General features: G+C 35.6%; 2 annotated features.

The window, feature by feature from the left end:
* Positions 17438-17937: an enhancer, noted in NCBI's record as "H3K4me1 hESC enhancer chr5:104287703-104288202 (GRCh37/hg19 assembly coordinates)". NCBI's record gives its function as "activates a minimal SCP1, AML or CMV promoter by ChIP-STARR-seq in naive H9 embryonic stem cells {active_cell/tissue: H9 hESC(naive)}" and the evidence as "EXISTENCE:reporter gene assay evidence [ECO:0000049][PMID:30033119]".
* Positions 17938-18439: an enhancer, noted in NCBI's record as "H3K4me1 hESC enhancer chr5:104287201-104287702 (GRCh37/hg19 assembly coordinates)". NCBI's record gives its function as "activates a minimal SCP1, AML or CMV promoter by ChIP-STARR-seq in naive H9 embryonic stem cells {active_cell/tissue: H9 hESC(naive)}" and the evidence as "EXISTENCE:reporter gene assay evidence [ECO:0000049][PMID:30033119]".

The following is a 19579-nucleotide window of genomic DNA, read 5'->3' as shown; positions in this document are numbered from 1 at the left end:
ACTCCGTCTCAAAAAAAAAAAAAATGTTAAAAATAGCTATCAGTATCTATTGCTAGTCTATATATGCAATTTGTTCAAGTGATTCTTTTCAAATTAAGAGGAAGAGGAAGTTTCTATTAATGTCAGGGCTTCTGTGCCCAGTAATTTCAACAAAAATAGAGGGTATGGTATCATCTAACTCTCCTGTGCTACCACACATTTTACTGTACTCTAATCTCTGTAGAATATTCACTGCATTCCCTCTCATGGACTACATTCTCTGATTCCTTGAAATCTAGAACCTAAAGATGGCATGATTGTGCTGTTTCTTCATAAAACTCAATCTAAAGGCTTAACTGATTGTAGTTACAATTCAGAAATTGTCATTTCTGGTGATAGAGGCTTCAACCTTATTTCAAGCACTTATATTCAACTTTTCGATGTCTGTTCTTGCTACTTCTCTTGTCCATCTTCAGATTTAATACCTTATTCCAACTTCTAACTACCAATTTTTTTATCAACCTCACTTACATTAACTCCCTAATTATCATATTTATTGATTCAAGAGAATGTTTGCTCATTACTTGTGATAGTCTATAGAATGTGTTAAGTTCCAGGGATTTTAGAATAAGTAAGACAAATGTAAGTATAAAGGCTTAATAAGCATTGCAGAAATGTAGGCCAACAGTTTGGTAAAGGAAGTCAGAGGTGTACTAATTCTAAGAATAATGGTTTCAAAGTTTGGTAAGGAACCAAAGTGACTTTCAGAGTTATTAAGTAATCCTCTGAATAAAAACAGGACACAAATACATTTTAAAAAAGGGATTGACAAGTAGTAGTTCAACTAAACCTAAAACTGAAAACAGTGATATTGAAGTTGTATCTTTATACCATCCCCTAAATTATTGCAATTTTTTTCCAAAAGTTTTTATTTTCTTACTGCAATAAGATAGATAACAAATTGCAATATTTAACCAGAGTTAGGGACTGGCTGATGAGTACAGCAGAAGGAAACAAAAACCATAATTATGAGACCATTAATGAGCTAGTAGGCCAACTCATCACCAGTCTGAGTGGGGAATTAGAATAAGGTGACTATGTTTCCTTGGAGAAAATTGTAGAGAAAAGCATAGCATATCTTGATAGATTGTAAACTAAACAAGGGAGAGATATTTATTAGTATTGAATGTTTTGGTCTAGAAGTGCTGTTTCATAGTTTAAAATATTAAAAATGAAATTATTTTAGTAATAGTAAAGTCTAAGATATGGCTATGCATAAGGGTTGATGATATGCAGCAAGACTGATCTCTAATAATCGCATTCTAACTTCACTAATTTACTAGATCACTACTTGTCTTTCACATGAATATTAATTCCCTAACTTTCATATCTTGTCCACATTAAGTATGATATCATTTTACATAATGTTGGCCCTTTCAAGGTTAGCACAATTACCTATGTTTTCCTCTTCCACCATTAGGTATTTAATCAGCCAACATTTACTATCACTATGACAGTCACTGGTAGGAGAAAGATGAATATATAGAATCATCCCTCAATGATGTCATGACCTAGTGTGGAATGGAATTAGTTACTGATCTCTCTGGGTCTCAATTATCTCATTTAAAAGAATAGGATTATTGTAAGGATTATATGAGCTGATAAATGAAAAGCACTTGGCACAGTGGTTGGCACGCTGGAGAATGTGATAGTAGTTAAAATTAATATTACTGGCATGAGACTTGCAGGGGCCCATGTGCAGAATCAGCTAAGCAGATGGTATGTTCAGAAAATGGCAAAAAGCCTGATATGGCTACAATATAAGGCAAACCTACTATGAAGTGCATCTTAATATCAGTGCAACAAAAATAACTGATAAAATAAATATGACTTGATACACATATTTCTAAGCATTACAAAGCCAAGCCAAAATTACTTTTGGCTTTTGAATTTATTAGTCATGACTCTCTTCCTATGAAATCCAGGTAAATAAAAGCTGACTTGTGTGTGTGGTGGGGGCGGGGAGAGATTTAGGAAAGAAATATATGGTTCAGGGAAGAAAGAATAGGTATTCGAAGACAATCTCTCTTCCTTTCTTGGTACACGTATAAGCTTATTTTGGAGATTCTGTCCACCTGATGATGCAGAGGTCAATTTCCCCAAACGCAGCCCCTAAAGATAGCCCATCACTATCATTTATCTGCATAGAATGATGAAAAGTCCTGATTCTCAAGAGAAAAAGATCAAACTTTTCAAATTGACTTTTCTGTCTATTCTTAATTTGGATACAACTTACCTGTCACCACTCCCCAATTCCTTTTCTGGAAGACTCACATGCCCAAATAAAACCTGATTTCTTGGATTTTCTTCTTCTGTGCTGCACTCTCTGGAATGCTTACCACTTTTTTCCTTAATCCGTCAAGCCTTTTCATTATTCCATAAAATTCAACTGAACTCAAATTTCACATAAGTCTTTCATTGAACCCTCAAGTCCACTCTACTCTTGTAATTAAAATAATTCTAATAATGTAACATTAGTCTTTCCAATACTCATACTGTCCACAGTCTTCTACTGTTTAATATTTTTGTGAACAGATTATATCCCAAATCAAGATAATAAATTCCTCTAAGTCAGAAGATCCATTTTATATCACTTATACTTCTTAACATTTCTGGTACCTGCTTGATAAGCAGTAATTATTTAGTAAACTTAAAGGTAATTTTAAGGCTAAACAGTTGAGAGCACAAGCGTACAGTTTCGTTCTATGAGAAAAAATCCCAAGAAATACAATTTTGACTCTGTCCTTTCTCTGAAGCTTCATATACTTTATAGAGGATGTTACACTACATCATGACACTTCTATAAAAACAGATCACAATTTATAGCTACACAGTGTCTTATTCCTGTATCTGGCTTTAGGAGAATATAAGCATTGACAGTAAATGACTGACAAAACTTGATTAAGAGAGTTATATAATTTAAATGACTATGGTACATCCTGGCAATTATTTTAGAAATAACTGAGACATTCAATGAGCATCACCATTGAACTTTGTATTGCTTTTCTTTATTTGTGGAAATGACGTAAGTATGAAAGTGGTATTTTTGTTTTTACTCTAAAATAGCCTCTTAATGTGAGAACTTAAAACTTTATAACAATTTGAATTATTAGTTCACCAGAGCTAAAAGGCAAATTTCTCCCTTTAATGCATATTCAATATACATTAACAGTAATATATTTGCTAGAAAGCTGAAGCAAATGTCATTCTTTCCTATTTGCATATATTAATACTACAAGAATAAAATCGGAATTATTTTGTCTTATCTTAGTCATTTGTCATGTCATATATTCAGAGACATTAATTTTTAAAGAAAATTTAAAATTGCATTATTTCTTATTAGTTTGTATTTCTATTTAATAAGAATAATAAAAGTGATTAAGTATAATTTATCTATAAAAAGGTCTACACACACACTCACAGGGTCAACTCTAAGTTATCCATGTTAATAGAAGTGTCTGAATATCTAAAATAATTTGTTTGGCTTTGGAATACACTCTAGCAGAGAAAATTTTATTTACTAATTATGGTGTGTTGACACTAACATTAAAATGAGTTGATATTTCCTAAGTACATAACCATGAAATATATTGCATGTCATAATAAATAATTCACATTGTGGAAAAAAGTCATTTTATTGGCAGTAGTTTTTTTTTACTCACATTTACATATGCACGTCAATAAAAATGTGTGCTCAGAACATTTAACGAATCCATAAAACTTGAATTTTTTTGTCTAAATCATAATAACAGTGTTAACTTTTTTTAATTTTGAGAATGGATTATATATAAGTAACTTAATCTTTAGATAGCTTGTTTATTACAGCAAAACAAGGAAATAAAGAAGATACTAATGTAAGCGGCCAATTAATATTAAATAAAATATTTTGCAATGCTAAGGAGAAAACCTGGGGGGTTACACATTTTTTAATATAAATTCAGATTATTTTCCTATTTTTATTCTAAAGAGACAATGAACTTTTTTTCTCACAGTATTCAAGGCAAAACATTTGAAATGATTTTCTTTAGGTAAAGCTAGAAATGCTGCAAAATAGATTATTCTCTAAATATACTTTTCTTTTTCAGTATTTGTAGCTGACAGCCATAATCTAATATTGGCCCGAGTAAAAGTACTTTACAAGATTTATAATTATGCAATGAGATCAGAGCAGAATACCTGGGTTTGTTATAATAATTTTTGCCCTTCCCACATTATTTGCTTCGGACAGCAATGGTTTTTCTTAGTTGAGCAAAATCTGTATAGACAGTATTAATAGGATTGGCATTTTTTCAATGAACAATAATTTTTAAAGCTGTTTTTATATTTACTGCTTTTCCAATATCAAATATAATAGCCACACAGTATTTTGCATATTTTGCTGAGATCTTATGGAGGTTACTAATATCCAAAGCAGACCACCACCAGTTAAGTAAGAATGATTACATAGCTAATTCAGGAATAAGTATTAATTAATTTTCTGCTTAAAAGATCATGCCTCCACACAAATTAAATGTATAAATTAAATATTCAATTACCTTTTTAAAGCTATATGTCACTAAGTTAAGCCTTGTAGCTAAATTATTCACGTCTTAAACAGTTACTTTTCTGTCATAGAGATACATCTCTGAGTTCCAGCCCAGAATCATGGGCAATGAGCCAGGCTTGAGTTGAATGGTTTTGATGTAAATGATGCTCAGGGTGACCCAGAGGCACAGTGCAGAGCTGAGCAGTCAAACACCTGCTCATGTCCAAGTTTTTATATACTTGATTACAATTTCAGAGTCTCAAAACAGAAGTCAAGAAATGAAATGCCTCCCCAAACAGAGAAACCTTGCCATTAGAAACTCTTTACATCTTTCCTGTTTGTTTGCCATTTGCATGTAAAAATCCTATGAGTAGAATACAGTAAACAGTTTATTTCACTTAAGTTTGCCATGAAACGGAAGTGTAATATTTGATGACAAAGCTTGTAGTATTATCTTCAACACCAAAGAAGTTATATTTGATTAGAAAAGTTAATTATATGCATAAAGAGAGCGGAGACACTAACAGCTAATTACTTACAAAGGGAAATTAAATCTAATTTTCTAACTGACAGTTGCTATCTGGCAATATTTTTATTAAACAAAACAAATTCCAATTTACTATATTGGGAACTCTAAAATTTTAAGGGGGACAATCAAATGTGTATAAATTAGGTTAAAATCCAATGAGCCACCGAGGGTGGCAACAGGTCAGCACATTTTTCAATGAATATTTTTGGTTTTGTTTTTGTTGTCATTGTTAACTGTTAGCAGTGAAACAAAATCATAATGAAGACTTGCAAGCCTCCTTAGGAACTGATTCTCTTTGCTACTTTGGCATTTGTTCACCTAGATTATTATACAGAACTAGGTAAGTGAGAAACTTACCTAGGAGATGGAAGCCTTGTATACAATTATAGCTGCTTCCTACTGATGATCCTATCTGCCTCTGTATTTGATTGTCACTGTTGACCCACAACTTGTTCATTTGTTTCATAATGAAGCAAGCCTTAAAAATATGCCGAAAAGCATCCTCCAAATTAGGAAAATGTTATCGTGACTCTGACCAAGAATGGAACAGAGAGCTTACAATAAGAACAAACACATGAAGAAAAAAAATAGCATTTTAAGAATTCCCCAACTGTTTTAAGATACTTGGATATAAAGGTTGAAAAGCTCCACTCAAAAGTAGTTGTCTCAGTGAAGGTGTGAACTCCAGGCAAGAGGTGTTAATAGTCAAGAGGGTGGAAAGATTACATTATGATTCTGAAAAAGCATACTTTGTAGTATACGAACACTGGCTTATTTTTTAAATAAAAATGTTGGCATTAAACACATTTATCTGAAGATGATTCTCTTCCCTTTTGTTTAGGGTATGATCATTGCCAGCTAAACAATGGCCTGAAGTCTGGGCATTGTCTTTGCTGCAATTATCCAATTGCAGGTGGCCTGCTTAAAGTGCCCAATTCATTTTTGGCACAAGGCAATGAGCCACAGGTAGGAGTGGCTACCAATTTAGAAGCGTTTCACAGTGATCATCACACATACTCATATGAACAAATGTAAAATTTTGCATTTAACATAAATCATAAGTGTAGATGTTGTCCTACTAGTGGAATTTGTTATAAAATCCTAGCAAACACAATATAGAATGTGTCTTTGTCTCTCATTTGTCTCAGAGAAGGCTCTGACAATTGAACTCACCTGACATTAGCATAGTAAAAGTTGTGACAGGAATAAAATTAAACAAAATAACATGAAATTAGAAAACACATTATTTCATGGCTATTATTAAAAAGACAAAACATAACAGATGCTGGCAAGGCTACGGAGAAAAGGGAACACTTATACTCTGTTGGTGGGAATGTAAATTATCTCAGCCACTGCGGAAAGCAGTTTGGAGATTTCACAAAGAACCAAAAACAGAACTGCCATTCATCCCAGAAATCCAATACTAGGTATATACCCAAAGGGAAATATATCGTTCTCCCCAAAAAGACACGTGTACTCATATGTTCATCACAGCACTGTTTACAATAGCAAAGACATGGAATCAACATAAGTTCCTAACAATGGTGAACTGGATAAAGAAAATGTGGTACATATTCACCATGGAATACTGGCCATAAAAAAGAATAAAATCATGTCCTTTGCAGCAACATGAATGCAGCTGGAGGCCATTATCCTGAGCAAGTTAATGCAGGAACAGAAAACCAAATACTACATGTTCTCACTTATAAGTAGGAGCTAAACATTGGGTACACATGGTCACAAAGATGGCAGCAACAGATACTGGGGGCTCCTCAAGGTGGGAGAGGGCAAAAGGGTAAGGACTGAAAAACTATCTATTGGGTACTGTGCTCACTGTCCAGGTGATGGGATTATTGGTACCCCAAACCTTAACATCACACAACATACCCACATAACAAACTTGCACATGTACCGTCAGAATCTAAATTAAAAGTTGAAATTAATTAAAATAGAAACATATTATTTCAGGTTGGTGAGCATAACAACTTATCAAATGTGAAGCTGCAGACAATCAAAATAATGCTGCGCACATCTGGGTTGCAGAACATCACAGTACTTATGGAAGGTATTAGTTTTGACTGGGGAAATACATTTTAAAGTAACAATGAATTAACTTTAAATTTTGTACCAAATAGAAAAACAAACTTTATATTAAACAGTGTGATGATAATTTATTCATGATCATGTTTGTAAGGAAAACCTTATGGAAATATATTAAGTGTTGTCACAATTTTTTAGTATTACCAGGAGGCTTTGTTAAATACATAACATTCTGGCTTTGCAGTCCATAGAAAGTGTCTTTAATCCACTTACTCTTTTTTTTTTAACATAAACACTATAGTAGGAGAACAGAAGATGTAATACATAATAATTGGGAGAGTAAAATATCATGCTGGATGTATTGGCATGCCTGTAATCCCAGCTATTCAGTAGGCTGAGGGAGGAGGATTACTTGAAGCCAGCAGTTTGAGCCCAGCCTGGGCAAAATGGTGAGACCTTGTCTCAAAAAATTTCTTTTTAAACTTTCGAGGCCCAGTGGCATGTGCCTGTAGTTCCAGCTACTCAAGAGGCTGAGGTGGGAAGATCACTTGAGTCCAGGAGTTCGAGGCTGCAGTGAGCTATGATTGCCCTTGCTATGACTATGGCATAGCATTTGACTATGCTATGACTATGACTATCACCATCCTATGACTGCACTCCAGCCTGGAGAGCCTCTGTATCTAACTTTTTTTTAAAAAATCATGAAATCAGAGATTTTAAAACAACTCAGATAACTTGACAAATTTTCTTTCCCTCTATAATTATTACACGTATCATACTTTCTTATGCAAGCAGAGTTTAAAACATTTAATTTTCCCCAAATGATTAAACCACAAAGCCTTCACTTCAGAACATTATTGCGAGACATTCAATAGAAAATTGCCTAATACAGAATTGATCAGATAGTTGCCTCGATAAGTTAAAATTAACCCTTATTTTTTTCTATTGTTACTATAAATATTTGAGTTAATCTCCAATTATTTTTATTGGTGGTTTCACACAGACTAATGATTCACTCACTGTTAATTAAACAAGCCTCATTTCCTTCAAAACTTTACTTTTCTGGTTCCCTTGAACTTTATATAAATTATATCAGGAAACAAATTAGTTTTCAAAAAGGGTCAAGCTTCTCGCTCTATAGAAATGCATGGAACTCAAATTACTAGACATAAGCCTGTCTAAAATTCCAACAATAGAATTTTAATACAAATTATTAGAGCTCAGGCAAATGGAAATAAGTCATAGAACATGAAATGTTTCACAGGGTCTTAAGAAATCTACCCTTAGATTTGTACTCAACTTGTTTCAAGGCACAGGTCAAGTGTCCAGGAAATGTTTTCAATACTGTCATCACAGGTTCAAGAAAGAGCATTGCCTCAATGTTTCTCATCTATGATCTGTACTCCTCATGCTCCCTCCCAACCCACAGTTCTCTAAAGAGAAGAACATCTTCACAATTCACCACTCTTCTCTTCTTCCAGACACAACTTTGAGAAGGCAGATTCATTTTCATGTTTTTAGAATGTAATAATTTTAGAGTGGAAATTATTTTTAGCCCTCATGAGACAAAAATGATAATATTAATAGTAACACACAATTCTAATACAGAACTTTTCATGTTCCAGGTACTGTTCTAATCATGTTACATAAATTTATTTATTTTACAAAATATTTATTGAAGTATTATTTTTCTTAGTGATTGTTCTAAGACTCATAATATATACCTTAACTTATTAGACTCTTCTTCATATTTATATTAGTCTAATTTAAGTAAGATATAAAAATTTTATTTCTATTTGGGTCCATCCCTTCCACTTTCTGTACTATTATTCATACTCATGTCTACGTATTACCAACCAATTAAATTATTATAATTATTGACATATAATACTATGTATTTTAAAGTAGGTAGAAAAGAAATTAGAGTACATATATATTTATGCAGTTTTTCTGTTGTTAGCATTTCAATTTACCGTTTTTGGCTTTTTCTTATTCCACGGACTTGAGTTATCATTTGGTGTCATTTCCTGCATGGATTCGTTGCCAATATAGGTTCATTCTTATTCCCCTGTTGTGTGTTTTTATTATCAAATACATTAAATTTCAATACAGTATAGATTCAGCAATATAATTATATAGATATTATATAAGAATTTTTAAAATCAGTTAAGAAAATAAGGAAAAAGACGTTTGTGATTATACTGGTTTTTACCATTATCTACACATTTCTTTTTTTACAAGGAATTCTGTGTTTTTCTTACGGATTTCAATTATTGTTTGGTGTCACTTACTTTCAGTCTGTAAAATTTCCTTTAGTATTTGTTGTAAGGCAGATGTCTAGTTCATTTTGTGTTGCTATACCAGAATACTACAGACCAGATAATTTATAAAGAATAGAAATTCATTTGGCTTATGACTCCGGAGGCTGAGAAGTCCAAGAGCTTGACACCAAAATTTGGTGAGGGCCTTTGTGCTGTATCATCTCATGGCAAAAGGCAGAAAGTGAAGAGAGTGCTGGAGAGCAAAAGGTTGTTGAACTTGCTTTTATAGCAACCTATTCTCACAGTAAGGAACTCACTCCTGTGATGATGACATTGATCCATTCGTAGGGGCACAGCCCTTATGGAATAATCACCTTTTAATAGCCATGATGATAGTAATACATTTCAAAATAAGTTTGGGAGGAAACATTCAAACCATTGCAGCAAGTCTCCTATTAATGAATTCTCTCCGTTTTTGTTTATTGGGAATATCTTTAGTTAGCTTTCATTTGTCATAGATGGTTTTGCTGGACATAGGATTCTTGGTTGAATTTCTCTATTTGTTTCAGCACTTAGAATATGGCATTCCACAACCTTCTAGTTCCCATTATTTCAGATGAAATCTTAGTTGTTAATTTCATTTTGGTTCCTTTGTATGTGTTAAGTATTTTCCTCTTACTGCCTTCAAAGTTTTCTGTCTTTTAACATTTTATCTATGATGTGTTGAGTTTGGATCTCTTTGTGTTTATTCTTCTTGAGGTACACTAAGCTTCTCAAATGTGTACATAAATTTTTTCACAAAATTATTTTTAACCCTTATTTCTTCAGACATCTTTTCTGCTTCCCACTCCTTTTGATATTCTCATTACATGTATATTGGTGTGCCCAGTGGTGCCCCACATGTCTGTGAGATTGCTTATTTTTATCCCTGCCTCTTTCTTGCTGTTGCTTAGAATATATCAATTTCTTGTAATCGACTTTAAAATAAATTCTATTGTTCAACTCAAACATACTGCTGGTCCACTTTCATCAGGTTTTTATTCTGGTCATTGTAGTTTTCACCTCCAAAATTCCCTATATATACATTTTTAAAATCCTGTTCCTTTGTTTGTGGTTCCTTTAATTTAATTTAATTTAATTTTTTATTATACTTTAAGTTCTGGGATACATGTGCAGAGCGTGCAGGTTTGTTACATAGGTATACATGTGCCATGGTGGTTTGCTGCACCCATCAACCCATTATCTACATTAGGTATTTCTCCTAATGCTATCCCTCGCCTTATCCCCAACCCCCGAGAGGCCCCCTTATCCCTCCCCTTACCCCTAACCCCCTTCCTGTGTCCATGTGTTCTCATTGTTCTACTCCCACTTATGAGTGAAAACATGCAGTGTTTGGTTTTCTGTTCCTGCGTTAGTTTGCTGAGAATGATGATTTCCAGTTTCATCCATGTCTCTGCAAAGGACATGAACTGATTCCCTTTTTAAAAAACTTCAACGTTTATTTTAGGTCCAGGGATTACTTGTGTAGGTTTCTTACATGGGTATATTGCATTACACTGAGGTTTGGGCTATGAATGATCCCATCACCTAGATAGTGAGCATAATACCCAATAAGTAGTTTTGTAACTACTACTTTCATTCTTTCCTTCTAGTAATCTCCAGTATCTATTGTTTCCATCTTTGTGTCCATGTGTGCCCAATGTTCAGTTTCCACTTGTAAGTGAGAACATGCAGTATTTGGTTTTCTGTTCTTGAGTTATGTAATTTGTGTAGGATAATATCATCCAGTGGCATCCATGTTGCTGCAAAGGACACAATTTCATCATTTTTTATGGTTGCATAGTATTCCATGATGTATATGTTCCACATTTTCTTTATCCAATCCACTGTTGGTGGCACTTATATTGATTTCATGTCTTTACTATTGTAAATAATGCTGCAATGAACATCCAAGTGCATGTGTCTTTTTGATAGAATGATTTATTTTTCTTTGGTGTGGTTCCTATTGATGAAACATTCTTATTATACCTTTCTTTAATTTTTCTAAACATGGTTTCTTTTAGGTCTTTAAACTTATTTATATAGCTACTTTGAAGTGTTTGTCAGCCAGTTTCAACATCTGGCAAAGTTAGTTTCTACTACCCACTTGTAAAATTTTTCAATGTATTGGTCACATTTTCCCAGTTTCTCTGCATGCCTTAGAATGTTTTTTGAAACTTGGACATTTTAGAAAATATATTGTAGCATCTCTGGGTGTGGAACTCTCCCCTTATCTTGAGGCTTGTGTTTTTGTTTATTTGTTCTTTGCTTATATTTACTTAGAACAATTTTCTAATGTCTGTTTCCTCTGTAGTGTACAATCTCTAATGGCCCTACTCAGATATTTCTCCCTTCCCACTTATTAATGAAAGGTTGTGTTCAGGCCACCTTAGGTAGTTATATTTTCACCTTTACTCTTGCATATGTGCGTAGCTTGCAGACTGTTTTCACAGTTTATGCAGTTTAGGAAAAGTGTCTCAAGATTGTTTCTCCAGTCATTCTTGAGGGTGTGCAGTCTTGCATGTGTGAACAGTCTTCCAAATCACCAGTAATTAGTGTGATTTTATTGTTCAGCCAGTGTTTGGTGAGCAGTTGGCAAGTGTTCAAGCCCCTCAAGCTAATAAGAATTCTGTTTGGTTGTTAGATCTGTGTGTGACTTTAGATATACTTTCCAGTCTTCCTATTGTGGGGACTCTGATTGCTCCTGAGTATGTGCAGCTGAGCACATAAGCACAACTTTCAGACCCCCAAGAAATAGTGTGATACCAAAAAGGCTATTGTTGGCTGTGTCTTTCTCTTGTTCTTTCTAGCTTCTCAGGTATTTTGCTTGTTGTCACAGTGACAATAGCACTACCAGTCCTCTCTTAATTGATCACTAATGTGTCCATTTTTGGACATCATTAAGCATGAACTTATCATTACCTTCCAAGTGAAGTCAGTTCTTTCAGACAGAACTGTGGATTACTGTATTTTTATGGCCTGCCTCTCCCCTTGGCAGAACTTCTATTGCACTGCACCAAAGCTGTTGGAAGTGGAAGCAGTGGTCAGATTTTCCTGGAGTGACAGCGCTGCTCTAAGAATGGACACTTGGGTTGGGAGGTAGATGATATTAGCCTCTGCTCTTCTTGGCTTTATCCTTCTTGTATGGAACTTAGACCCTACAAGACAGCTGGGTTGGTGGTGATTGGAGCCCCAGTGTTCTTGAACTCTCATTCCTGGAGTGGAGCCTTTATCCTAGGAATGAGAGTTGGGTGAGGAAGAAAGGCCTGACTTCTCAGTCGTGCCTGCCTGTAACCACACTTCTATGATACAGGACTGGGAAGGACAAAAGATACTAGTGGCTTGGCTCTCCCAGAATATAATCATATCCCTAGGCCAGGAGCTGGTATGAGAGAGATCCTCTATCTTGTCTTTGCGGTCACTCCTTCCCAGAGTAAAATCTTTGTCACACAGTTGGGGAGAGGACATGTGGGAGCAGGTCATAGCTTACATGTTGGGGACTCTAGCTATTCTTAATGAATTTAGTAAACTTTCTTGAATAAATATTTCTCCATTTTCTATATGCCCTTACAATAATTTTCAGAGACTTACTTGTTTTAAATAATTTTCACCACTGAAATGGTTGTTTCACTGTGGAAAAAATCCATCGATTTCCCTATCCTGCCACTCTAGAAGCCCCAGCAAGCAATACTTTCCACATTTATTTGAGATTGATACAGTTATTATTTCAAATTTTAGTTGAAGAAACAAAGTTGAGAGAGAATACGTAATTTGCTTGTCACTGTGTTTCTTAATTTAGTATAATTCTCAAGCCTATGGTATTAAATTCAATAAGTACTTAGGGGGAAAATAGATGAATGAACAAATGTTTCTGAACATTTTTTAGAAACGCTTTAAGTCCACTAATTAGAATCAAATATCTTTAAGTATTTTTACCAAAAGAAAAAAAAACAGATGAAATATATGCCAATGTCATGAGTTGAGTCATGATACTATAATTATAAGCCAGAGATTAGTGAGCAGATATGGGTTCTTTTGGTCCTCTTTTAGAATATAGTCTTTCACTGAAGACATTAAAATTGAATCTGGTTTGGGTTTATTGAAATTATTACTTTAATGTCCTCTGTGTAATGAAACTAGGAGTGACACATATTGAGAGCATTGACCATTAAGCATTTATGTGGCACACATCGTTCGTGTATGAATACATTGAATGACCTGGGCTTTGGGTGGATTTCAGTGGTTGCACCAGATATGCTTCCTGGATCCAGTCACCCCCTCATCTCTAATCTCTGCCAGATAACCTTTTCTTTGGGCATGAGGCAAAGTGCTGTCTGTCTGCCAAAACCACTGATGTTGATCAATGAATGGCTGCTCTCTCCAGGATACATAATGTCAATCATGTTGCTTCTGTGGGATCATTCAGGAAGGCACTCATGTTGTGGGGGAAAATCAAATGTGTATAGAAATTCAGTTAAGTTCACTTAAATGAGTTCCATTAATGTCAGTCCTCATGTACTTAAAATTTAATAAGAAGAATGACTTTATATTGTACTTTAAGGAGAATTCCCTACTGAGGAGAAAAAGGGTTTTGTTTGGCTTTTTACAATTCAGATTTGCAGGCTTTCTGATAAAAATTCATGATTTATTTTCTCTCTTCCCTACTTTCAGCTTTTAAAAGCAATTATGTATTGAAGAACAAAGGCAATAACATTGGAAATGTTTAGTTGATTTGTTTGAGGAATCTTAAAACGGCTGTAGGCCAAAGTATCATCTGTCTTACTGTAGCTGCCAGATTTAATGGATGCAATGATTGAATCCATCATGATGGACTGCTGGAAAGAGTATGAGGCACCTGGGCTTGCCTTCCACTGCTGCCACTTAAAAGATTTATGACTTTGAGTATCTGTCTTATCATCTTTGATTAGCAGGTATTTTTCTTTATAATGCATACAATAGTGTCTACTCCACATTATTTTTCTAAACGTTGACTAATATAACTATTACAAAAAATTTTTTATAGTAATATGAATTAAATACAGCATACACACACATACATATACCCAAATATTTTGTTTATATATAATGGGGCAGTGATTTGATTAAGTGAACATACTATGTTGCTAATTCTTAAATACAATTTTACATATATATATAATAGATATCATTTCTCATTGTGTTTTATATATGTATGTGTATTTGTATATAATGCATTATATGTTTATAGATATACATTATATATATGTGTCAATTTTGTAAGACAAATTGTTAGGGAATTTTTTTATCGCATAAATGTTTCTGGGATCATGAATATACATATATAAAAAATAAAAAACCTTTCTGTAGCTTTTATTATATATAAAAATGAACCCAAACCTGCTTTAAAATTCTAATGTAAAATTTTTAGAAGACAACATAGGAGAAAGCCTTGTAATTTATATTAGATATCAGTTTCTAATGTATGATACTAAAAACAAAATATATAAAATAAGTTGATTTATTTGTCTACATCAAAACTAAAATAAGTTGGGTGCAGTGGCTCATGCCTGTAATCCAAAGTGTTAACTTTGGAAGGCCAAGGCGGTAGGAATGTTTGAGCCCATCAACATGTGAATAGACAAACTCTAGCAAATTCAAATACTGAAGTACTATTTATCAAGAAAAAACTGATAGATAAGTGATATTTTTTATAATATGGAAGAATATCAAAGCAATATTGAGTGAAAGGAGTCAGACTGAGTATTTACTGTATGTTTCCATTTATATAGAATTATAAGTTATATACACTAATATATAATGACAAGAAACAGGTCAGTGATTATCTGGAGGATGATTTGAATGGAAGGGAATTATTACAAAGTGGCACAAGAAAACGTGCGGTTGATGGATATGTAAATTATCTTGATAGTGGTGATGGTTTCATGTGTGTGTATATATGTCAAACTTATCAAATTGTACATTTTAAATATGCATAGTTAATTTTATGACAATTGTACCTCAATCTTTTTTTAAGTTAATCGTCATTTTGAATTTTAAACATCATATGTATCTTCTGATTTATTAATTTCTGACTATACTGTGATTGAAAATATGTTATAAAGTTAGAATTTTGAAAGGTGAAAATTACATTAGTGGTATGACAAGTTAAATATAAATCTCCAAAATAAAAGTTGAAGGTATGTTGGCCACGTGTGGTGACTCACACCTGTAATCACAGCACTTTGGGAGGCCGAGGTGGGCAGACCACTTGAGGTCAGGGGTTCGAGACCAGCCTGGCCAACATGCTGAAACTTGTCTCTATTAAAAATACAAAAATTAGCCAGGCATGGTGGCAGATGCCTATCCAGCTCCTTGGGAGGCTGATGCAGGACAAACACTTGAACTCGGGAGGCAGAGGTTGCAATGATCTGAGATTACGCCACTGCACTCCAGCCTCAAAAAACACACAAAAAAAGAAAATATGTCACATTGATATCAGGTATCCAAGAATAAAACTTTGGCATAGCCTGTTAGTTATTCCCTAAACCCTGGCTACTTTGCACTGAACAATATTTTGGCTTAACCAAGTATTGTTTCACTTAGAGAAAATTTCCAGAAGCATATGAATTGTCTTGTTTCTTAAAAGCCTTTAAGCCTCTCAAAACGGTTTAGCCATGTAAAACTGTGAGTGATTGTATTTGGACAGCATTTTCATATTTTATATATACTGAATTTAGTTATGGGAAGTTCAAATATAGATTTAAATTATGACTCTAAGTTGATTCCACTTAATTGCCTGGTTAACAAATTTTAGTTTCTATGTTATATATGCATATATAAAGATGACAAAAGTCCACATATTTTAGAGTGTCATTGAAGAATGCAACTTTTTTCTCTTACCCAGGAAGATATGTAATATAATATAATTTAATATAATTGGGCTAAATATTGCAATTTTTACCCCACCATGGAGAATAAATCTATATGTAGCTTTTATGAATTTCTTGGAATGTATGGAAAATGTGTTTTCTCCTTCCCCTCCATTTTTTATACCTCCTTTATGAAGTAACATGATAACTTAATTTTGTGATTTGGATGGTATCTCTACTACTCTCTCTCTCCAAGAAAATGGGTGAGTGATGGAATTAGAAACTAGTTAACCAGGCTATGCAGATGTAAGAAAATGGTCTTTGTATTTCCAAGGTCTAGGTTTCAAAGAGGCAGCCAAACTCTAGAATAGAGAAAGTAAGGAAGTGCAACCATTGCAGGTCAGAAGTTTAAAAGTGGAAGTGAAGTATCTGGAGCTGTATTAATGATGTAACAAAAAGCTGAACTCAGGAGAATGCCAGTTGTGCAGTCTAACAGTGACCCTGGAAGAGGCAAATCTAATGAATTGAAAAAGGGATTACTTTAAGGAAATCCTTAAATAGAGCTTGCCAGAAATGATCTATCTGAGTAGAGCATTTGGAGATTAGCCGGCAAGTCAGGTGGATTATCAGTGCTCCTGTGCTAATTCACCAGTCAGAGTATTGGTTTATCTGCATTTTTAAGAAGCTATCTTCCAATTAATAGATGATTTACAAAAACACTGCCCTCTACACTCTGAAGCCTGAGATACCCAGAGAAACCAATAGTGTAGAAAAACAAAAAAAGTTAAAGAATATTGGCTGAAGGTTACTTTCACCAACAAAAGAAGTTTAAGTACCAGTACTACCAACATGCTCTTGGGTAAATTAATGCAGCCTCAGCTGTAAAAAGAGCAGAGAGTGCCCTCTGTTAAATATAAGTTAAATTCTATTGATAATACATTTCAAAAAAAGAGAAGGCAATTAAATAATCCTCAAGCTAAAAATAAGATCATTTTTGTTTGAATGAAAAGAAAAAGAAATCTGCACTGGTTTAGTTTACCAAGAAACACAATTATTAACCTTGGTTTTCTGCTTTTTGTATTATCATGAATGATGCAATGATGGACACTGAAGGGGGTACATGAAAGGAAATCATGGGGGCAGCTCCAGTGGGAGGCTCCCACCTGAGAAGAACTAAAACAGCATGTGAATCCTGCACCGGCAATGGAGGTATCCAGATTCTATCATTAGTATTGACTAGGAGGTTGGCATGACCCACAGAAAGCAAGGAAAAACAGGGTGGTGCATCACCTCACCTGAGAGTCACACGGGGCAAAGGGAGCCCCCAAACACAGCCAAAGGAGGCGGTGAGTGAGTGTGCTACCCAGCTTGTGAAACCGTGCTTTTTCCACGGATCTGTGCAACCTGTGGATCAGAAGATCCCACTCATGAGCCCACACCCTCAGGGCCTTGAGTCTCAACCACAGAGCCATGCAGATTCTCAACAGCCACTCAGCTGGAGTCTGCCTAAGACTGTGGAGTTCCAGGGGGAGGGGTGGCCATCATCACTGTGGCTGCTGCCTAAGCCAACTGAGCTCCCTGGGGGAGGGGTGGCAGCCATCATCACTGCAGTTGCCTGCTGCCTAAGAAAACCGAGATCCCCACGAGAGGGATGGCAGCCATCACTGCAGCTGCTAGCTGCCTCAGACACTGAACTCCCAGAGGGGAAAGGCAACAGCCATCTCTACAGCTCCAGGCAGCTGTTTTGCCCCTGCTTGAGCCTGGGACACTGGATGGCTTAGTCCCAAGAGGCATTCCCCACAGCGCAGCACACTAGCTGTGGCAGATCCTGGCCAGGCTGCCTCTTAGGCAGAACCCTGACCCATTCCCTCTCACTGGGTGGGATGTTCCCTAGGCCTGCTGGAACTCCAGCAACTCCAGCCAGGGGCTTAGGGACAGAACTCTGATCTCCCTGGGCCTAAGCCCCTAAAGGGAGGGGTGGGCATGGTCTCTTCAGACCAACAGACTTAGTCTTTCCCCCTGCTAGCTCTGAGGAATCTGGGCAGCCCAGGTGAGTTGATTTTCCCCCAGCACAGGACACACCTTCCATCAACAGAGAGCCAAAGTTCTTTGTTAAATGGGTCCTGGATCCCATGCCCCTGACTGGGTGAGACCCCCCCAACAGGACTTACCAGACACCTTATACAGGAATGTTCCTACTGGCATCAGGTTGGTGCCCCTCAAGGACAGAGACCCAGAGGAAGGAGCAAGCACCCATCTTTGGTGTTCTCCAGTCTCCTAGGGTGAAATCTCCAGGTGTGGGAGGGACCGAGATGAATAGGGCCTGAAATGAACCCCCAGCAAACTGCAGCAGCCCTACAGGAGAGGGACCTGACTGTTGAAAGAAAAACAAACAGAAAGCAACAACAACAGCATCAACAAAAAGTCCCCACAAAAACCTCATCCAAAGGTCAGCATCCTCAAAGATCAAAACTAGACAAAGTCATGGAGATGAGAAAGAATCAACGAAAAAATGCTGAAAATTCAAAAGGCCAGAGTGCCTCTTTTCCTCTAAATGATCACAACACCTCACCAGCAAGGGCACAGAACTGGATAGAGGATGAGATGGAAAAATTGACAGAAGTAGGCCTCAGAAAGTGGGTAATAACAAACTTGGCTGAGCTAAAGGAGCATGCTCTAACCCAATGCAAAGAAGCTAAGAAACATGATAAAAGGTTACAGGAGCTGCTAACTAAAATGTCTCATTTAAAGGGGAACATAAATGACCTGATGGTGCTGAAAAACACAGCACAAGAAATTTTGATGCAAACGCAAGTATCAATAGCTGAATTGATCAAGCAGAAGAAAGAATATCAGAGCTCGAAGACTATCTTGCTGAAATAAGGCAGGCTGACAATATTAGAGAAAAAAGAATGAAAAGGAACTAACAAAACCTCCAAGAACTATGGGAGTATGGAAAAAGATCAAACCTATGACTGATTGGGGTGCCGGAAAGTGACAGAAGAATGGAAGCAAGTTGGAAAACACACTTCTAGATATCATCCAGTGGAACTTCCCCAACCTAGAAAGACAGGCCAACATTCAAACTCAGGAAATCCAGAGAACCCCAGTAAGATACTCCGTGAGAAGATCAACCCCAAGACACATAATCCTCAGATTCTCCAAGGTTAAAATGAAGGAAAAAATGTTAAGGGAAGCCAAAGAGAAAGGCCAGGTCACCTTCAAAGGGAAGCCCAACAGACTAACAGCAGATCTCTCAGTAGAAACTCTATGAGCCAGAAGAGAGTGGGGGCCAATA

The sequence above is a fragment of the Homo sapiens genome, chromosome 5, assembly GCF_000001405.40.
Source record: "Homo sapiens chromosome 5, GRCh38.p14 Primary Assembly".
Classification (NCBI taxonomy): domain Eukaryota; kingdom Metazoa; phylum Chordata; class Mammalia; order Primates; family Hominidae; genus Homo; species Homo sapiens.
Note: the sequence above shows the minus strand (reverse complement) of the source record. Positions and strands in the feature narration are given on the sequence as shown.